At 35.0% G+C, this 16,037-nt stretch overlaps 1 protein-coding gene across 107 annotated transcripts in view; it reads left to right on the top strand.

Moving 5' to 3' along the window:
• The window catches only part of NRCAM (neuronal cell adhesion molecule), a 309,072-nt gene extending 293,236 nt beyond the window's left edge, over positions 1 to 15,836 (top strand). For 75 of the 107 annotated variants that reach the window (NR_163870.1, NM_001371122.1, NM_001371124.1 and 72 more), the window contains 3 exons: positions 2,993 to 3,124; positions 3,944 to 4,022; positions 13,338 to 15,836. Coding sequence is in view for 102 of the 107 variants with exons in the window: in NM_001371122.1 (NP_001358051.1) it covers positions 2,993 to 3,124; positions 3,944 to 4,022; positions 13,338 to 13,575 (449 nt within the window). In the remaining 5 variants the exon portion in view is untranslated. Of the gene's footprint in view, positions 1 to 2,992; positions 3,125 to 3,943; positions 4,023 to 7,036; positions 7,099 to 12,731; positions 12,791 to 13,337 lie in introns of those variants that run through there. The other 32 variants (NM_001371170.1, XM_011516268.3, XM_017012239.3 and 29 more) reach the window with 4 other exon arrangements.

Below are 16,037 nucleotides of genomic sequence, written 5' to 3'. Positions count from 1 at the left end.
TGAACAGGACATTTTCATCCATAGTGCATTCTTCATAAATAGTAGAGAACAAATAACCATTTCCCTCACCCTGTCTCTCTTCTGTGTTGATTCTATGGTTCTGAGGACTCAAGAGCATTTTCCTCAGAGACCTCCTACCACAGAGCACAGATATCCATGACAGCAAGCAACGCCAGAGCAGAAGACTGTTGTAAAGCTGACTTCCAGAAAACAAAGCAAATCTCATTCTCCTGCCATATTTTCTGTTTTCATGTTCTTTATATGTGTTTAATTTATCATTTTGTGGATTACTCAAATAATACATGAATATAATTTTATTGTTAAAAAAAATCAAGTAATGAAGATTCTCTTTTACTCCGCTACCCAGCCCTTCAATGGGTGATATCCACCCACTGAAACTGATTCTAGAAGGAAAACTCCCATAGGTTTAATTCTCTCTCTGTGGGGTATATGTGTGTGTATGCGCATGTGTGTGTATGTGTGTGTGATGCATGATCATGGTTATGGCTTGGATTTGTATGTCCCAGGTGATTTTAGATTGTCCTGAAAAGGCTTCATGCCTATTTTAATCATTCTGGAATTTAAATCTTTTCTTTTATGGATGGAAAGTCAATAGAAATTTTTATTCCATTTACACAGTTTCTGTTTTATATCAATTTCTGGTGTACTTGTGTGTGTGTGAATGTGACTGTGTGTGTGCACACATGCACCTATTACCATATTGTGTCTGCCTATTTTAAATAATAGGGCAGTGAAATATTCGATACTTTTTTCTTTAGACACAGAGGCAGAAATTCAAAGTCAGTGAATGTGGATGTTTGTGTACCACCCATCAAACATCCATCCAGTTTTTCCATGGTTGCATAGCAGCAAACTGCCAGTCAGTAGTTCGATTTTGGCAGTCACCATCCTTGTAGAACAATATCTCTGCTAGTACCTGAGTATCTTGTTTTTCCCTTTTTAGTTGCATTTAATTAGATGAAAAATGTAAATGCTGAATGTATTTATGACAAGGCTGTAAATCAGCACACTGAAAACAAGAACTATAGTCAAATGCTTAAGAGACTTAATGCCATTTGGTTTTTGGTTCAGTTTTGAAGAAAAAGCACAGACCAGGCATTAATTGAAAGAAATATGTTGCCAAAGAGGATGTAATGATGGACTTTTAATACCTTTTTGCCTGTCTCAGAATAGGAAGTGCCTATAGCATTTTATTCTTTAACTTAAGATTTTTGCAGATTTGGTATCTGGATTGTTTTTAGGAATGCATTACAGCAGTATAATATAATGGCTAGTAGCATATTTTCTGGAGTCAGACACAGGTTGCTCCAACTCTTGGGCAAGTTCTTAACCTTCTCTGGGCATGGATTTATTTCTGATGCCTACCTCAGAGAATTGTTGTAAAGATTAAATGAGATGTGCCTTCAGCACAGTGCCTAGCCTATGGTAAGGGTCCAAAACTGTTAGCCATCAGTGCTATTACCATTGTCCTCATCTTCATCATCATGACTATGGTATGTGTATGGAAAGGGGAAACTGCCTAAACTGATGCTTTACTTGTGTGTGGCTATGATACAGCTCAAAACTTCTCTAATAAGGCACGAGGGCCTATTGGGAAAAGGCTACCAGCCTTTGACTTGTATTTCAAATAAGGTATTTTTGCTTCTCATTTTATTTCTTCTACATATGTCCATATTTTTTTTAACCTTCCTCTTCACACTTGATTTTTAGCATTTCCTTTTTCTCCCTAAACTTTGTATGGAGAAAAAGAGGCAATGAGATGCTATTTTTGCAACATTAGCTGAACCTGGGATATGCGTAGTCATGTTTATTTCTGCATCCAGAGATCACACACACCTAACTCAACTGTGTAAAATATATTCGGAAGAAATTCAGTCAAATTAAAAGCATGATATAAGCATGCTTATAGAGTCAAAAGAAGAAAATGTTTTATCTTGATTATGGTCAAAAGAGAGAAAATAAAGGTCTTTTAAAAAAGAATTTATACTAGTTAATTAAGCAAATCTGCATGGGCATGTCTGAATAGCCATTGATGCTGCACTTTTTCCCATAAGATTGATACTTTAAAATAATACCCGAAATGCTCATTATTCTGTGGTTTTCTTAGAAATTTTGCATATTATGACTGATGGAATAAGGGGTTTCACATTTATTAAACAGAATAGATGCAAACTGAAAGGATATGTATACACCTAAGTGAGTACTTTCTTTTCAAACTGGTCATGTAGGCAAATAATGAGTTCACTGACTGAGAGATATTCCGGTCTTTTGAATGGATCCTTAGCAATAACGAATATTGATTCTTTGAGGGTGGATTTGGTTTTTCAGAAATTTCCACTCAGAACCAACTCTTGTGAATGAGATGAATAACAAATCTAAGTAATATTTTGGGTGCAAATTGAGATGTTATATAAAACAATATGGCTGTTTTCCTGATCTGGAAAGGTTTCTTGTGTGGACCGTTTTCTTTTTTAACAGATTTCTAAAAAATACTGAAAATGGCAACAGCCTTGCAAGGACAGTTTAGCCTCTAAAAGCAGTTCCTTTGAAGAGAAAATACTCAATTAGATGTATACATTCTGTTCTGTTTAAAACTCAGTTTTGTATTTTTCTCATTATACTTAATGTAAAATGTATCCTGTTAACAGTGAATACTTTAATTGGTTTGGGAATTTGTTTTTATTGAGAATATATAGTGAAAATAACTGTGAACACAGTGTTCACCAGGGGTTTTTAGCATTTAATGTGATGATTATTCAGATTTCTCTACTTGAATTTTTTAATGAATGAAGATTTTTCAAAGTTAATTATTCATATAATTCCTGATTAATAATTGACAGATCCTAATTTGGGGCCACATGTAAAATATATGAAAGCTCACATAACGTGGCAATTTTTTACTCTGAGAGACTGCAGCAGTTCCCATCTCCCCTTAACCTATTGCCACCAACACCATTGATTTGTTTTCCAGCGATGGCAAGCCGGCAGGTGGATATTGCAACTCAGGGCTGGTTCATTGGTCTGATGTGTGCTGTTGCTCTCCTTATCTTAATTTTGCTGATTGTTTGCTTCATCAGAAGAAACAAGGGTGGTAAATATCCAGGTAAGAAAGAAAGATTAAAATTGCTTTATAATGCTACATAATAATCCATTAAACTAAAAAGATCATGGGGGAAATCATGTAGATTGTAATATTTTGTCTTCCCAGAGCCATGAGTTTGGACTTTCTCTTCAAATGACTTTTGATCCCTTTTTATATAATGGCAATCTAAACATTGTCAATGATCATAAGGCATTTGGAGGAGTAAATCAATCAGTTCTCTGAAAACATTAGTGAGCCTACTTTCTTAGACTCCACATAGGTTATGGATGCTGAAGTAACACCTAAAACCAACTGGCAAGGAGAGAGTTGCAGGGAAGGTTCATGGAGTTTTTCAAAGGAAGTAATGCATGAACTAAGTCTTCATATTGTGATGTGTAACATTGCTTTCCCTATAAGGTAATGGTTTATTCAATTTAGTGGGCCCATTAAATTTATATTTTCTTTACCTGACCATTTTCCCTTCAGTGACAAGAAAAAAAAAATCTGTGAGAGAATACTCTTACAAAAACAATTTTCAACCATTAATATAGTTAACAAATAGATTGGTAAAATAGGGGGAAATCTTAGAAACTTAAAAATTATTTATCAGGTGAGAAACTAGTCAACTTTATGTGTTAAAAAATGTACATTCTATTGGGTTGCCTCAAAAATAACTAAAATACCAAAATATATGCATGGCCACCATATATATGGTTATACAACATCTACTTGTGTATGGAATTATTTTTCACTGCTGTATATCTCAAAGAATGCTTTCATGGACTTTGAATAAGAAAGAACAGGATCAACAGATAATAATACCATTTTGGCATTTTTTAGTTAAAGAAAAGGAAGATGCCCATGCTGACCCTGAAATCCAGCCTATGAAGGAAGATGATGGGACATTTGGAGAATACAGGTGAGCCCCTGCTTCTCTGCTCTTCATCTTCTCTGCCCACATGAACACAGTCCCGAGAATAGAACTCAGCCAGAATATGCTCTGCCTGGCATCTCATATTTTCCTCAAATAGAAGTTTAGGGATACTTCCATGTATCAGTGTTTACATGTCCCTCATGGTCAAACATTTTCATTTTTCATTGAAAAACTAAATTTTGATTTTAGTCATAATTTTGGAGATGGAATGTCTCCCACTTTGTCATATTTTCCATGGGACCATGCTGTATTGATCAATCTAGCAAAGCCAATATGCTACTATGAGCATTAAAACAACAAAAAAGAACCTCCAATGCCTGCATTGTAAAGAAAGCTATACTTGTTATCTTCTAAACATGCTGTAATAAAACCAGTGTAAACACACTTTTTCATCTAGAATTTGAAACTAGTTTTCCTAAACAATACCCATACCCTTGCCCTTTAATCATGAAATGGTGACTAGATTGTTTTACAAGCTGTTACTTATTAAGAAATGTCGTAGCCCTCTAGGCAATGTGTTACTCACAGAACTTTGATAATACATTCTTGGCTTGACTCCATCATTAAGGGAAAATGTTAATATAACCTATGTGCTAAATTTTTTAAAAATCTTCTCTTTAAACAAAGATAAATCTTTTCAAGAGAAGGAAAAGATTACTTTAGATTTGTTTAAATTAAACAGAAACAAAGTACGTATTTATTTAAATAAAATGTGGGCATTCTGTTATTCTAAAAGTATACCTTTTTAAAATACCTTTTGTACCTTGTTTTTTTCTTTTTAGAAGCCCCTTGCTTATATAAAATACCTTTTAAATATGCATTAAGCCCATTTTGAGACATTGTTTGCAAGATGAAGAGGCTTTTAGGTGAAATAAAATATTTCACTATTGGGATTACCAGGCAACATTTGTAGAGAAGATATTTATGTTAAGTTTTACCTGTCTCTAGAGCTCATTTTTGGTTTTTCCATGTCACTATCATGTCAATATCATAGAATTTCATGTGACATAATCCTAAGGATAAAAAATGTAGAACTGATTGAGAAAAAGACATATATTTTCAATAAAATCATTTTCATATCATTTTCCAGGCAGATACCTGTGTTTTTCCTTTATTATCTCAGCCCCTAAGTTTTTATATTGTGATCTCTTAAAGAGAGATAACTATGGTTTCAAAAAGTTCTCAGAATTTCTGTATCTCATGGTACAGAAAAATGCATAGTGAGGGTTGTCTTGATGTCAGAAGTTGGTTCTGGAGCTGAAGGTGTATGAAAACCTCATGCAGCGTCCACACCCAGTTCACCCAAGAGGGTTTTGTAACACATTAGAGCAGCCTACAGAAGCCCGTAGCCTAGGGCATCTGGATGAGTAGAACTTTGCTGAAATAATTCACCCTTCTACATGTTTCTCCTGTAAAGCAGGTAAGCTTACAATTACTAAATAACTTCTTATTTCTAAGAGTTCTTGTGGCTGTAATTATCTACAGGATATGCATACCACTCCCTTATGTATTGTGATGAAGCAAAATCTTTAATGTGGCCCTGAAAAAAAATGTATTTGCATGAATTGGAAATAAAGCATTGTCCTTCATACATTCTCCACATGGTGATGGGTTCCTGTTCTACATTATCATGCCTCAGTGAATCTAGCAACATACTACTCACCACCTGGGTCTCAAACATCAGCTTGCTCTTACAGCGATGTGAAACCATGATCTGAGGTCATGTGACTTTCCCAGATAACTGCTGCCTACTCCATTAAAACTTGACTAAAATCAAGGTTGATATTTGGGTGATGGTATACTGGAAGCCCAAACCCCACCACTATACAATGTATCCACGTAACAAACTTGCACATGTACCCCCTGGATCTGTTCTAAAAAATGGAGGTTGAGTTTTATGAACTAGCTTGGAATCAAAAGACTGTTAGTTTTACTTTCAACTCAGCCATTGCCTGTGATTCATAGTTCTATGATTTCTGTTTTCTTCTATGAGCCATCTACTAACAACTTTAATAGAATTTTGTGTCTGGAGCAGTACGTGGCAAGTATTTGGTTACTGGCCTCATAAGCACTGTGTTTACATCTATTTGGTCATATGTCTTTGTCTTAGTGTTAATTTATATGTGCTATGTTGGTAAAGTGTTTTCAAATAGCTGTCTTTAGGCCTTAGTTTCTCAGGAAAGAAAGACTTTGCATTTGGGCTTATTGAGTGCAAACCCAATTGACACGAAGACAAAAACACTTGTACATTTGTCATACATGTAATGACATAAATTTGGGAGGTGCTAAGGGAAATAAGGTTCTGATGGGTGTCTTCAACTTGAAACATAACTCAATGATGTAATTTTTTCAATGAAACTAAAAGTTCATAAGGACAATCCCACAAGCAAAATCACTTCCCCAAAATTCCAACCACATTTTTTACTTTGATTTACAAAGATACGGCTTTGTCCTTTGATTTCCTGACACTACCTCAGAATGTTTTCCCTTTGGTTTATTTTCTATTTGAAGAAATCCAAAAAGTGTTTATTATCTTAGAGGCTGTAATTAATGAAAACAGTTCCAACTGTTTATTAACAGAATCTTTTATTTTTAATACATTTAAGTGTCATTCACTTCCTGAGATCACCAGGTTCCTGTCTCTGTTTTGCACTTTCTGGAAGTTTTGAGCTCTGTATTATTTATTGATTCTTATTCTCTTTCATTCCAAAAATAAATTATTATGCTGACCAGACACATACAAAATTAGGACTATTGCCTAGGTGTAAATTAATTCCATTTCTGATTTGCTCATTCTCCAGTTTGATGATGAAACCGTTTCTACATGGCTGGCTCTAAGCCAGATGATATTTCATAGTGCAAAGAGGGATAGAACCTCACTGGTGGCCAAATGTGATTATATGCTATAACCCTGTGCCCCTACTCTGACACCCACCCCCAAGCAGTTACCCTCTGTTGGAAGCCTGCAGCTTTCTTTGTTTGTTTCTTTAATTATACAGACAGTAGGATCTGCATCCTTACTAGCATATAGAAAAATCAGAGAAACAATGCAACCAAGAGTGTAAGTATTTTTTTATTCTTTAGATCCATTTTCCTTAAAACCAGAATAAACCTAGGTCATAAACCATATGCCCATGTTACTTGAACTCATAACTTACTACATAATTGGTGGCTCTTGCCACATGAATCTTGTCATTCATGTGAACATGGGCTTGTGGCAAGCATGCTAACCCATGCTCATAAGGCTTGAATGATGCCAAGATGTGTCACATTCGTTATATACATTAGAGTTATTTTGCTCTCAAATGTGAACTGGCTTGTGAGTAAAATAATAATGGACTTTTAGCGAGTGGGTAGGAAAGAGTATTTGGGTCATGAATGTTACTTGAGCTGCAATGTGGTTTGGCCATGGGAGGGTGGTAACAACAGGAAAATCAGACAGAATTATCACAGATTTACCTGCTGTTGCCGAATTTTACTCAGTAGGATTTAACAGATGTGCACACTTCTGAACAAAGTGCTATTGAAAAACAATTTGAACTCCCTAAAAATTTATTCTTAGGGAAAGAGAAAGGAAAGGATATATTCCAATGATTTGTCTGCCGTCATAAAACTGAGGGAATGAAATGTTTTATGTTAGAATTTTTAAAAAAATTTTCTAAAATGCCCACTGTCTCCTCTATTATTTTACAGTGAACTCATTCTGCCAGTATTTATGAGTGCCTACTGTATGCCAGGCCTTGGGAATATTCAAACCAATAGAATTTGGTCCCACACAGGGAGTTTATAGCCTAGTGATGGATGCAGGGAAGTAAAAGAACAATGACCAGAGTGTGAAAAGTGCTATGAAAGAGATATAACTAAGGTACCAAGGGAACAGAAGCAGGAAGGTAAAGCCAGGTGGGCAGCATAGGAGGAGGATGGTACAGGGAGTCTTCCCAGGGGAAGTCATGCAGTTTTAGCATTGTGATAGGAACATTTCTTTCCACTGCACAATGATCCTGATTCATGAATCTAAGTATCAAGAATATACTTGATATTGTATCAATACTTGTATACTGGATACTTTGTAGGTGCATATATATATATGCCAGCACTGTGAATATGATTTATATAATATGTATATATTTTATTTTGAAATCCATTCAACCTTTGACATCCAAAACTAATAATTAATGTCTGATACACACCATCCTTAAACTTTCTCATTAAAATGTGAATGAATTTTTACCTGTTTTGTAAAGCTTTGAATACTACTGCTGCCTACTCCATTAAAACTTGATTAAAATCAAGGTCTGCTATATGTGTGTGTGTGTGTGTGTGTGTGTGTGTGTGTGTGTGTGTGTATATATATATATATGACTTTTAAATCATCTTCTATGACTTCTTGATTCATATCATTTGGGAAACTCTCCTTTCATATTTAAACTTGACATGGCAACTTCACTGAATACAATGTCAAAAAGTTATTTACTATTTCATTACAAAATTCATCTTGGAATTGAAAAAGGCAAGCCCTCATACTGTGCTTCTCATAGAGTCATAACCACTCACTACACCTGGAAAGTTCCGCGTGTGTGTTGCACAAGGTATTTCTTAGGAAAAAAAAATCTCTCTGAAGTAGGGACCTGGAGTGGAGAGAAGAGATGTGATGGGAGATGGACATGTATGCTTGTTGAACACAAACCCAGCACTGTGTGTATGACTTATATAATTTTTTCTCATTTAACCGGATTCTAATTATTGAAGTATATGATATTATATCACACCACTTATTAAAGACTGGTCTTCAAAAGATCTCACTGCCTTTGAATGGCTTTTCCTGGAAAGACTCTGTTGGAGGAGGGAGAATCCCACTTCCTTCTCTTCTTTCAAGCACAGCCCGTGTTGCTGTTGATTCTCTCCTCCACCACAGCCGTTAAGCTGGCGTGAATGGATGTTTTGGGGGAGCCCCTTCTTGGCTGGTCATTAATGATAACTGTTATGATTTTGTATGTAAAAACCCACATGAATCAACAAGCAAATATTATAATAAGAGAGTTTAGTAATGTTGCTCGACACAAAATTAACATAAAAGTCTTATATTTCTATGTATCAGCAAGCAATTGGAAAATAAGACTTTAAAACTTATTCTAGTTATGATAGCATAAAAATATGACATAGGAATAAAGCTAACAAAAAGATCTTCCACCAGTTTCAAGACCCTATATTCCATTCCATTGGTCAATCTGTCTATCTCTGCACCAAGACTATAATGTCTTAATAATATAGGTTTTAATAAGTCTTGATATCTGCTAGGTCCAGTTCTCTAACTTTAGTTGTCTTCTTCAAGAACCTTTTAAATATTCTTAGCCCTTTTCATTTATTTGTACATCATAGAATCAGCCTGCCAAGATCCACATAAAAACCTGCTGAGCTGTTACTGGAAATAAATTGCAGCTAAAGGGCAATATGGGGAAGGTTAACATATTTACTATATTTGAGTCTTCTATCCATGGATGTAGAACATTCCTCCATTCATTCAGATCTTCTTTAATAACTCTGAAAGTTTTATTTTCTTCGGAGGTCTTACACATATTTTTGTTGGATTTGTCTTTATATACTTCATGTTTATGGTCTCATAAATGGAATAATATTTTGAATTTTATTTCCTAATTTTTTGCAAGAACATAAGTAGAATTGACTTTTATGCTAATCTTGTATCAAGCAACATTATTAAAATCTCTTTATATTCTAACATTTACCTGTAGATTCTTCTGGATTTTTTATATGCACAATCATATCAGTTATGAATAATGATAGCTTCCTTTCATCTATTTCTTTTTCTTATCAAGTTGCTTAGGACTTTTAATTCAGTTTTGATTAGAAGTGGTGATAGCAGCCATCATTATTATTATTTCTGATTTCAAACAAAGTTTTCAGTGTTCACCATTAAGGATGATGTTTACTTTAGGTTTCTTGTTGCTACCCTTAATCAGGTTAATGAAGATACATTCTATTCCTAATGTTAGGAATAAAAATACATTCTATTCCTAATGTTTTTATCATGAATGGGTGTTGAGTTTTTTCATATACCTCTTTCTAAATTTACTGAGATTATCATATTTTTATTTTCTTCTGCTAAAATAATGAATTATATGAATTGATGTTTTAATGCTAAAATAAGCCTGCATTCTTGGAATAAACCCAACCTGGATATGAAATATTATCTTTTTCATAGATTGCTAAATTTGGTTTGGTCATGGTTTGTTTGGGGTTTTTTCATCTATGTTCATGAATGAGATTAGCCTGTAGTTTGACTTTCTTAAAGCATTCTTATTGGTTTTGGATATCAATGTTATACTAGCCTCAAAAAATGATTAAAGGAGTGGTTCTCATGACATATTCAAACTTTAATATCTCAAAATGGAACCATTGATTTTCCCCTCCCAACATGCTCCACTCCATAGTAACAGTACTTCCAAGCTTCCTGTTGCTCAAACCAAAAATCCTGGCACCATCTTTTTCTCTGTTATTCCATGTCTAACCTATCAGAAAATCCTGTTGGCTCTACCTTCAAAATATGTTCATAATCTGAGCATTTTATACCACCTCCAGTGTTCCACTCTGGTCCAAGTCACAGTCATCTCACTCCTGGATTATTGTAATATTCTCCCCTGACTCTATAGAGCAGAGGTTGGCCAACTAAATATTTTAGACTTTACAGGCCGCGCGGTCTCTGCTGCAACTCTGCAATTCTGCTATTGTAGTGCTAAAGCAGCCATAGACATTATGTGATAAATGGGCGTGGCCTAATTTTACTGTAGTTTACCAACCCCAGCCCTCTAAGGTAGGCTATTCTCAACACTGATGGCAGAGTAGTGCTTTTAAAATATAAGTCAGAGCATGTCACTTATTCTTTGAAACCCTCCCAGGGCTTCCTGTCTCACTCAGAGTTAAAGGCAGCGTCCTTACAATGTTCCACAAGCCCTGATTTAGCCGTGCCACTCCCCTTACTTAACTCCTACTTTTCTCTCTCTCTCTCTCCCTCCCCCCAGCCACACCAAGCTCCTTAGTGTTCCTAGAACCTGCCAGGCTTCCCCTCACCCCGAGACATTTATACTGCTTGTTACTCCTGCAGGAACTGCTCTCCCTCCAACTATTCACCTTGCTAACTCAACTCTTTTAAAGTTGTTGACCAGATATTACTGCTTGATGAGGTCTTCCTGGACATCTTATTAAATGCCAGCTCTCCATCCCTTCTCCAACACCTTCTGCAGTCTTTACTCAGCTCTATACTTTGCATAGTGCTAATCCTCTTCTGACATAATATATATGTAATTTTTTTTATTATGTTGATTGTTAATTGTATTTTCTTCCACTAGAAATAAAGCCAGTGAGGTGAGGGTTTTAGTCTGTTTTGTTTGCTGCTATATTCCCAGTGCCGAGAACAATCTATCTTAGAGTAGTCACTCAATAAACATTTATTGGATGAAGGCATGGGTGGATAGATGGCTAGACCAAAGAAATGCCACAGATGACAAATTTCCAGCAGTGTATTCCTTGGGACACTAGTTCTACAGAGCAGAATAAGACTAGTCATTGGAATCCAGGTGACAAATTCTGCCTGTTATTGAACTCTTCAGCTGAATTAACTGTCACACTGAAACATGAACTATATTTCACAAGAAGGATTTAATAATTAAACCCCAGAGATGTTGTGTAGGCTATTTTCATAACAGGTTAGACACTCAATGCTATGTCCTCTGAAATGCTCACAAACACAGACCACCCCAAGATGATACCTCTCCAGTTGTTTATTAGCAGTGGTGAAAATATAGTTTATTCAGTTTGCAATAAGAAATTGTGTATTACTGAAACAGGTTGTTTTCAGTGGCATATGCCAGTGTCATATTATGCTAGCATTATTTCCCAGTCTTCAGATTTTCTTCTTGGAGAAAAATTGAAATCCCTAGTAAAAGTTATTGTCAAAAGAGCCAGGATACTTGTGCATCTTGAAATGTTTGTATCTTGGCTTGAAAAAAAAAGTCACTGTCTGAAACAGAGGGAGCAGTAAAGTCTTAGCAGAAATTGCTAGATTAAATACTGCAGCCAGTGATACCTTTTGTATGTTAAGGCTTTTTCATTTTTACATTAGTAAAAATGTATATGTTTCCTATTTTGCCTTGCATTTTTGTTCTTTGAAAGAAAACAAAATGTTAGATCCTGTCATTGCCTTTTTCTATTTTTTTCCCAAATGTTACCTATTAAAAAATAGGTCAATATGCATAACTAGGTATTTGACCGTATGGGTGAACATTCAAAAACATAATGATTACTCTTTGTCTTCCAGAAATTGTGCTTACGGGTTCAACAGAGAAATAAGCAAAAATTGTAATAATGGAATCTTGTAAAGTCGTATTAAAGTACACTCCTCAGATTCCCATCCAGTATAGTCAGGCTGCATAACACACAAGGAAGAAGGGAGCTGGGGGGTTAACATGAGTGTAGGAAGCATTTGCTATTACATGTTTGGAGTCATTCACATTCTTTAGAATATATTGGCATGCCATTCATAGTACAAATGTAGAGCTTTTAAGTTAAAGTGCGTCTCTTTCCAGATTAATAAATCTTTACTCATTAACTAAAATTTTTACCAAAAAAACAAAAAAATACTGTGTACTATCAGTATAAGGATTTTGCTTTTCTTCTTAGGCTGTTTTCATTTGTTTCTTCTGCATCCTTTTAATGGAATTTTGTAGGTCTCTTGAAAGGTAAGGTTGAAGTTTACAGTCTGGCCTGCATTGATAACAAAATTATTTGAAATGCAGGATTTTGCTTCTCCTTCTGGCTCAGAAAAAAAAAATCCACATTTCACACTTAACCAAAATCATGCTCCATTCACAACCAAGGAATCAGAGATATTATGCAGTTTAACATACTAACTTCTTTACTTGCCATAAGCTTTTGCCTTTTTGAATTCAAAATAGTGATGATTTTTCTACTTTTCTGAATTCTTTCTTATTTAATGCTTGTGATTATTTCTGGATTGCTTTCAACTCAGGAATCAGAATTTGTCATTGAAATTAACAAACACTATTGGGAGCCATCCACTCTACTGAAGACTTCATGATTCAACCATTTCTGCTCCTGATTTCCATTCCAACTCATCCTCGTCATTGGAGTCAACCTGAAAATTAGATTTGGCCAGAGAAGCCCAGGACTCCAAATGCTTTCTCATAATTTGCATGCATGGTCTTTAAAAACAGAAAATGTTACCTAAATGCCAATCTTGACAAAAATGTTTTCTCTTTCTTCCAGTGATGCAGAAGACCACAAGCCTTTGAAAAAAGGAAGTCGAACTCCTTCAGACAGGACTGTGAAAAAAGAAGATAGTGACGACAGCCTAGTTGACTATGGAGAAGGGGTTAATGGCCAGTTCAATGAGGATGGCTCCTTTATTGGACAATACAGTGGTAAGAAAGAGAAAGAGCCGGCTGAAGGAAACGAAAGCTCAGAGGCACCTTCTCCTGTCAACGCCATGAATTCCTTTGTTTAATTTTTAAGCTCTTTGCCAATATTCCATTTCTCTAGAATGTTTATCCTAAGCACTTGTTTGTCAGCCCTCTCATACTATGAACATATGGGTAGAGAGTATATTTTCTGCTGTATGTTAGTATTATGAGAATAGTTACAGCAAAAACATAACTCAGTCAAATGATATGTTAATATGAACTGGAATGCAAAGTGCATACTTTTTCATTCAAAATGGGTATTCTTGATTTCCTCAGAACTGATAAAAAATAATGCAACATCACCAACAGATCCTGTTATTTCCTCTGCAGGATACAGTTCAATATGATGCATGAAAAATGCTCCACATTTAAAGGACATACCCGTGTATGTTATGAAAACATGGTTTGATACTTTGTTTATACTACCCTCAGCTGAACCCCTATATATGAATTCCGTTTTCATTGTCAAGAATGTTACTGTAGTATTCTCTAGAACTTCAATGTCTTTGTGGACATTGTTGTGAAATTGGTGACTATGTATAGCTGTCGTTAGTCTTTTTGGGAGACTGTTAGGAACAGTTTGTACAGTATATACTTGCTAAATGAGTTCATTATGACAGTCACATTGCTGATGCTTACTGAGAACTATTACCTACTCTTGGCTCCTGTTACTCCGTAGGCTTCTTAATCTTCCAGGCATTACAGCAGCACAGTGTTCTACTTTTTACATCATTTCTATGTTCGGTTGTTTTTAGGCATAAACAATGTGTATTGCAGTGCATTTCGGCATTTGTGCCATACTGAAAGAATCAAAAACAAATCATCCAAATTAAATTTCAAACATTATTTCAGAGAACACAGGGCAAGACACATACAGTGCCTTCAGATATTAAGCATTCCACAACATCGTGCATTCTGTATCAGCTGGTCCAGTCCATTCTGGGTCCTAGATTACTGTCATTGTCTAAAAGTAACTTTTAAAAAGCAGAGTTCATGAAAACTGCAATGCTGGGAAAAGAAGGAAACATGAAAATAAAAATAAGACAGTTTATTAGAAATAGCATTTCCTCATAAGCATAAAAAGAAAATCTTTGTTGCCAACTGAAGCACATGATGATTTTGTGGTCCTTTATGGTTTCTATTACATTCAGTAAGAAAGATGTCAACATGCTAGAAAATTAATTTTAAAACTAAGTTATTCCAACACTAAAAGCATACAACAGCATGCCAACAGTAATATATTATTCTCCAAGACTTTACCTATGTAAGTGTTCAAAACTCTGCAGCATTAAACAACGTGTATGCAAATTGTTATGGATACATTTCAGAATCTAAGAAATCAGGCAAGTGCTTAAAAGGCCAACGGTCCAAGGGATTACATCTGCAGTTTAAAAAGTAAATATATATTCTATCGTATTCATAAACAATATCTATCAAATGGGTTACCTCCAAATATGAAAATCTATAACAACCTATGGTTGAAGGAATGCTCAGTTTCATTTGCCAATAAATTGGTTTCTCATAACTTGCATCAAGTTTAATTTTAAGTAAAGCTTTTTATATGTAGATATTTTGTTGAATTTGTAAATACACTTAAAATGTAGATGCTATATGCTTATAGGTGTTACATACAAATAAACATGCAATGTTTATGTTGTACTGTATAAGAGGTAAGCTAATTAATGCAGTGAATGGGATTGGAAAGCATCTACTTAAATATCTATTGGGTTCCCCCCTCCCCCCACCTTTTTTGCTGTGAAACTGAAATAGTGAACTTTTCTACGTATTGACAGCAGATTTTTCGATGAAATCTTCAGAGCTTTGCCTATGGGGCACAGTAGGCCTAGTAACCTGGCATGTTTGATATATGTAGGTAAAGCATAATTTAAAGTAATCCCAGGTAAAGATGGCCCTAAATACTTTCATGTCTCTATATTCATTTTTCACAGATCCACCTGTCTCTTGAAAATATAAAAAGACAAAACAGGTTTGCCTTGGCATCAGAGAGCACAAAGATTAAAAGTTACTTTAAATTTGCCAATATTTTGGGAGAACAATAAAACTACATTTTTTCCTCTTCCATACTGGTAGATGCGAAATTTATCTGTGCATGAAAGGGTCACTTCTGTAATAGTGCAACAGATTTGGTATTAAAAATTAAATGTGGTTTTAAAAGTTCCTCTCTCTTTTGTAATTTATGTTCCCAATTGAGTGTGAATGTCCAAGTAATGGTGTATGTAATGGTACAGGCAAATGTGACTGGATTTCCCTCAAAAAAGTAACTATTAAACAGTCTTGATCTCTTTGTGACTTTTAACTTTTTCAAACATATATTGCCTAATGTTTTAAAATGGTGAAAAATTTTATTTTTTACTTTCAAAAGGCTGTTCTATGCAGAGAAAATTAAAACAAAATATAAAACAGATCTAATAGGACATATCAAAAACATTTGAATGAAAAACAGGACTAGATATTCCCAGCCTTTTGAGAAAAGTTCAAGAAATCA

The sequence above is a fragment of the Homo sapiens genome, chromosome 7 (genome assembly GCF_000001405.40).
Source record: "Homo sapiens chromosome 7, GRCh38.p14 Primary Assembly".
Lineage (NCBI taxonomy): Eukaryota > Metazoa > Chordata > Mammalia > Primates > Hominidae > Homo > Homo sapiens.
This window is presented reverse-complemented; position numbering and strand designations above follow the sequence as displayed.